The following is a 6,751-nucleotide window of genomic DNA, read 5'->3' as shown; positions in this document are numbered from 1 at the left end:
AGCAACCTGGCAGAGCAGCCTCTGGGACAAACATCAGGAGGCAGAAGATGAAGGGGGTGTCTGGATGGGCCTGGGCACCCCAGGGTGGCCACTGATGCCAGACCTGGCCTGGATGCAGGCTCCTGATTCTCTGAGCCCAGGAGAGGGTGGCTGAAGACCTGGGTTTTGAGGCAGGGGTCTCTCCTCCTTCCCCTAGTTGCCCTAACTCACCAACTCTGATGGAGAACTGGCTGCAAAGAGCATGACGCCCTCTTGCTTAGCCTCAGCTATAGAGAGCTGAGGGATCCTGGATCCAATGCTGTGCCTGATCCCAATCCCCACTCCCTCAGGCCATCCCGGACCTGCTTAGTTAGGAGAATTCTATGAACGACTGTCGCAGTGTACAGGTGCCCTTCGGAAGGTGGGCTTTTGGGGGTGAGTTGTTTATAATCCTGGCTAAGACGCAGCATCTGGGATGCGTGGGCCTTCAATCCGTCGCAGGATCACCCTGAGAACATGCTCTGTGAGGTCAGGAAGACTCTGGGATTCTGCAGGAGCAGAAACCAATTGCAGAAGCCGCCTCCCGCAGAACCGGCCACCCTGCTGGGGCTCCCCCGTCACCTCATTCTCGCATCCAAGTCTGCAGCCCGTGTGTCTGATGGTAAAGCCTAGGTTCCCATGGGGATCTCGGCAGCAAGGATCTTGGAAGGGCAGAGTCGAGCTCCCTGGCAGACTCCGCAGAAGCCAGAGGGGGCCGATGTTGAGGAAGCGAATTATCCATGTCCGCCACAGCTGTGTGGTCTGCACCCCAGATACAGCAGGGTGCGTCTCACATGGGCCTGGCCTCACGATGGGCAGCGTCCAGCCTCTCCAGCCTCATTCCACCCAGGCTCTGCCCTCATGCACAGTTTCTGAACGTGGGCACCCTCATTCACTGCTCCCTACCAAAGAGGACTCTACATTTTTCCCCGTTGCCAACAGAAAGGATATCTTTAATGTGCTCCTGTGTCTCTCCTTTGCCTGGAAGAGCCTCCTAACTGTCTGTCTGACATCCCCAAAGATCTGTCAATGCACAGCTCAGATGCCTCTCTCCTGATCAGCCTTTTCCAAGATGACTTCTCTAGGAAAGAAGCATCAATTACTTTTTGGCTCCTAAGCATCACGGTTTATTACACAATTGGGTCAAATATTAATATGCTAATAATAAATAGGTATGTTACCCCTCTGTTGATACAACAAGGGATTTTTTAGAAATTCTATACTGTATATGTGATTTGAATTAATTTGGTAGCACCAATGATTGAACTCAGCCCTGCCTACTCTAAGTTGGAATATTTCAATTCACTCTTACTTTCTTTTTATTGTATTTAAGGTGTGCAACATGATGCTTCGGTATACACTTACATAGTAAAGTGATGACTACAGGTGGTAAACAAATTAATATTTCCATCACTTTTCATAGTTGCTTCTTTTATGCAACTAAAACCCACTTCCTTAGCAAATTTTCCATATGTGACACATTATTAACCCCAGTTCTCCTGCTGTACCCTGGATCTCTAGATGTACCCAACCTGCAGCACCGCAACCTTCCGCCTTTAACCCACACCCTGGTCTCGCCGAGCCTCTGGTCCTCCGGCTCTCGTAGCGTTTGGTGCTGCTGGTTTCTTCACTGATTCCTGGAGGTTATCAGCTACGTGTTGAACACCTCTTCTGCTAGATTTTGGTAGATGCAGAAAGCCTTTCTTTTTGTTCTTTCCCTTAAATAATATTCAGGAAAGTAGAAACACAAACAAACCACTATGAGGCAACATAATTTATGCTATGAAGGGAGTTTAAACAAGGTTCCCCAGATGCACAGAGACCAGAGCAGAAAGGCCTGCCTGGGTGTTCCGGGAAGGGTTCACAAGAGAGGCATCGCCGAAACGGAGGGTCTTTGCATCTGTGTAATTAACGCAGAGACAAGGAGCACTTACAGGGCTCCAAGCTCTGCGCAAAGCTTCCAGGCATACACAGTGTCCTCACGGGAAGGTTCAGCAACCCTCCAAGTGAGGGAAGTGAGTCTCTGTAAGAGGCGTGACCACTCAGCTGCTCAGTGACCCAGAGCTGGGCTTTATAAACTTGGAGGAGGGCACAGGGCGCAGAGGGAAACCCAGGCATTGTGGAGTCAGAGCCCATGCATGTGACTCCTGGTTCCGCTGTGTGCCGGCTGTGACATCACTGCATGCAAATTGCCTCACCTCTGCTCGCCAGCAGCCTCAGCTTTGAAATGGGAGTCACCATGGATAGAAGGTGAACGTGGACTTGTGCAGGGGATGCACGTCCAGTGACATGCGGTAAACACGAGCCTCGGCTGTGGTGGAGTGACAGCCCTCAGCCCGTCCCAGTGCACACAGGGCTCCATGCAGTCGTGCTGACCACCTGCGCTTGGTGAGAGGAGGGGCTGGGCACGCCCCTGGTGTGCCCCTTCTTGCATTTAGAATGAGCCCCTGTGCTGAGTGCCAGCCATGATCTGGTGAGTCACAGGCCTGTCCTCAAATATTCCACAGTCGAAGGTGAGAGATGTGCTGCAATGTCTCCCAGTGGCATTGGGCTGAGATGAGCTACAGCAGCTCGGAAAAGGCCCCGGTCAGGGTCAGCCATGCCGGGTGACAGGGCAGCAGGACTGGTCCCAAGTGTGTGTTGCTGGCGGGTGTCAGGCACGGCAGGTGAGGGACTGAGTAAAGGTGAACGCCGCAGGGCTCCTGGGCAACACCACGGTTCCTCCCGTAGTAAAACCTCCCACTTTCATGGGTGCTTCTCTGGTTTTCAGAAGCGGTCTAAGGGTAGATGGTAAACCTGTAAATGATGATGATTTGAATGAAGTGCATTGCTACATGTTAGAGCCAATGCACTTATTTTCAAAAACACAAGCCTAACTCTGTGTGGAAACACCTGGGGTCACCCGCTCACTCACTGTGGGACACCTGGGGTCACCCGCTCACTCACTGTGGGACACCTGGGGTCACCCGCTCACTCACTGTGGGACACCTGGGGTCATCCGCTCACTCACTGTGGGACACCTGGGGTCATCCGCTCACTCACTGTGGGACACCTGGGGTCACCCGCTCACTCACTGTGGGACACCTGGGGTTACCTGCTCACTCACTGTGGGACACCTGGCATCATCTGCTCACTCACTGTGGACTTTTCTAGAAACAACTGATTTCCAGGCATTGCCACCATGCAAGCTTGACTTTCTCATGTGTATTTGGCCTCAGCCCAGGCTTACCAGGGCTGCTGAGATGCTGCAGGGAGGAGCCGCAGTTCAGGTGGGAAGGAAGCTGCCGGGTGTGCACTGTGAGCAGTGAGAACTGGAAAAGGCTCCTGGTCAGAGGCCACCTCGGTGCCCATGGGTTCCCGCCTTGTGACAGAAAGAGCCCTAAAGGAGGGGCTGTGGCCAGGTGGTGTTCCTTATGATTCAGGTTAGTTATTATGCATTATTAGCAACCTGAACCACTTCACAAAAAAAATTTGGTACTTGAGAAAAAAAATGGCCATTTTAGAATGCAACTGGAAAAAAAATTCATGTCCGTTTACAAAGAAATAAGTTTGTCAGGTCTTGAACTGGTTATGAAGTGTTATCCTGAAATGCTGGTTTACAGCCATATTCATAACCATTTTTTCTTTGATTAAATATTTTTATTTAATGTCTTTTGAGAATGTCAGTGAATGGAAGGTCATTTTCTGAAAAACCAGCGAGAGACTCTCCACATGAAGACGGAAATCAATTTGCATCTCTCTGTGTGGTTGTAATGCTGGCATAGACAGGAATTAAATGCCCTTTCTTACTTTACTTCCTGAAGTAGAACTTAGCCTGGGACAGAAATTATTTAATGGGAAGCCTCAAACTGTGACACATTTAATTGATGTAGGGCAGGTAATAATAAGCTTCTCCATCACTGTGCACAAACTGTGACTTTTGGTTTCAAAATGCCTCCGTGCAAAGGAGTGAACCCCCAGGATGGGGTCCGGGGAGGAGGATGGGAGGAAGGGGTTTCCCGAGTGGAGGAGCCGGGCATCGTGGAATAGGCACTTGGCAGGTGCAGGAAGCTCGTGCCTGGGTCATTCCAAGGTGCTCTGCTGAGTCTTTGTGTTTCTAGGTCTGGGAAGTATTTAATTATCCATTTCTTAAAAAGCGTATTTTCAAAGATGCTTATTAAAGGCTTTAAAGTAAGTGGCAGTGCTCATCGTCTGAACCTTCTGGAAGAGCCAAAGGGAGCAGGAAGCGGCCTCCCCAAGGCGCATGCAGCCGGCCTGTGTGTGGAGGATCAGAGCTGCTGAATCAAGGCTGGAGACCACAGCCACCCAGAGCACCTGCCATCCTGGCGGGGCCTGGCTGTCCTGCCCATGCCAAAGCCAAGGGGCGTTTGCTGTGGCTCCCTCTCAGCCTGGCACCCGGCCAGTGCCCACACCCTCGTGCCTCCTCCTTCTGCCACCCCTGCTGCCGCGCAGTCCCCAGGAGGGGAGCTGGGCCCTGGGGCTCTGAGCATCACCCTCCGTCCTCCCGATCATGGGCCATGTCATCAGGGCTCTTTTCTGCTGAGCTGTGCCCTGCATCTCTGCATTTTAGCCACCAACCTCTGCCCAGGACCCCAGGCTGGCAGCTAGGCTGGACGTCCCCACAGCTGCCCTTGGGGCCTCAGTCTTGTTCTTGCCTTTGAGGTTCCCTGGGCACATCTCCAGTCCCTGAGGGGTGACAGGCGCCCTGCACTGTTAGGGCCGGGCACTCACTGCCACTGGACCAGCCCCTGTGTCTGTCTCCTGCATCCCCTCCAGTGGCATCCATTGGCCCTACAACATCAGAGGGACTTGGCTCTCCAGGCTGCAGCAGCCATAATCCCACACCTCACTGGTGGCAGCAGCAGTGGTTATTTCGGGCTCATATTGCACTGGGCTGAGGTCTGCGATCTCACACACGTGGAAGGAGCGGTGCCATCCGAATGTGCTTGTGAGAATCGTGACAAAGCCAGGAAGGGCCTCTGCACAGGTGTGGGGTGCGTCGTCTTCTCAAGGCCGATGTCAACGGGAAGAGGCGTGCAGTCCTCTCATCCGGGGTCTGGTGCCCAGACGTGCCATCTTCCTCCTGCCTGTGTCTTCCTCCTGCCTGTGTCATCCTCTTCTGCAGGACGGGAAGACCCCGGAGGCACCGTCTTCCTGCCACCTGTGTCATCCTCTTCTGCAGGACGGGAAGATCCCAGCGCCATCTTCCCGCCACCTGTGTCATCCTCTTCTGCAGGATGGCAAGATCCCGGTGCTGTCTTCCCGCCACCTGTGTCATCCTCTTCTGCAGGACGGAAAGATCCTGGAGGCGCCATCTTCCCGCTGTCTGTGTCATCCTCTTCTGCAGGACAGGAAGATCCCGGCGCCGTCTTCCTGCCGCCTGTGTCATCCTCTTCTGCAGGACAGGAAGATCCTGGCATCTCACACGCCCCTGGCTTATAGGGCTCGGAGGCTACAGTGGGAGCTCAGGGCATGTTTGTTGAGTATTGGAGGTTTTTCAGTCAGGGAAGATATCAATTTAAAAATGAAGTCACACATTCCCCAAGAAGCATTGCTGAATTATATTGGTTTAGTCAACACAAAATACAAGTACACAGGAATAACCGAACCACAAAATGTCAGGCTGTGGAAGTCAGACGGCACCTAATATTAGGATAAATAAAGCAGGTGGAGAGTGAGTGTCCTCTACACTAATGGAGACATTTTAAATTAACTTTGACCAGCAAGTTTTATTATTTTTCCTGTTAAGATCTAGGCAGGCACATGCAATTTTTGCGGAGAAGAGACTCCAGTTTAGGAGCCTGCCATGAGCAGTCATGCAGGTGGCCCGTGGGGAAGTGGCTGACGTCTGTGTCTGCACCATCCTGCGGGGTGTGGATGCCTTGCACACCTGCACCCTAGCTGCACCCCTGCCTGCACCGTGCAGACACGAAGTGGCTGCTCCAGAATGTTTTCTGGATGAGGACATGAGTGAGCAGGACCTGGGGCTGCAGAAAGACTGCTTCTATAGGCTTTATTATTTATTTATTTTTATTTATTTTTGAGACAGTGGCAGGATCTCGGCTCGCTGCAACCTCCACCTCCCAGGTTCAAGCAATTCGCCTACCTCAGTCTCCCAAGTAGCTGGGATGACAGGCATCCACCACCACGCCCAGGTAATTTTTGTACTTTTTTTTAGTAGAGATGGGGTTTCACTACGTTGGCCAGACTGGTCTCAAACTTTCATGCTATTCTGAGCATTATGACTAAATCTTGCACTGTCCTGCTCCATCCTGACCAGGACCGGGTCATCTCTTTGCCCAGCAGATCCATGCTGTGCACACCACATGCCTGTTAGTGGCTTAGTAGCTCTCCTGGGTCAGCAGGTCCACTGATGCAGATCACAAGTGCCTGAGTTCAGGCAGCCCTTATTTTGCTTACCAAGGGCTCCAGATCAGAAGAGCAGTGAGGCTGGCAGCTTGTAGATGGCAAAGAGAAGCTGTAAAGTGCTCCCTTTAAGTGAAAAGGTGAAAGTTCTCTACTTAAGAAGGAAGGAAAAAATTGTATGCTGAGGTTGCTAATATCTACCATAAGAACAAATCTTCTATCTCTGAAATTGCATAGAAAGAAAAAGAAATTCCTGCTAGTTTTGCTGTTGCACCTCAAACTGCAAAAGTTTTAACCACAGGAAGAACACAGGAGGTCGGCACCACACAATTTTCAACAACCAGATCTCCTGAGAATTCACTCACCC

This window comes from Homo sapiens, chromosome 2 (genome assembly GCF_000001405.40).
Source record: "Homo sapiens chromosome 2, GRCh38.p14 Primary Assembly".
NCBI lineage: Eukaryota > Metazoa > Chordata > Mammalia > Primates > Hominidae > Homo > Homo sapiens.
The sequence above is the reverse complement of the archived record's forward strand: the minus strand, read 5'-3'. Positions refer to the sequence as shown.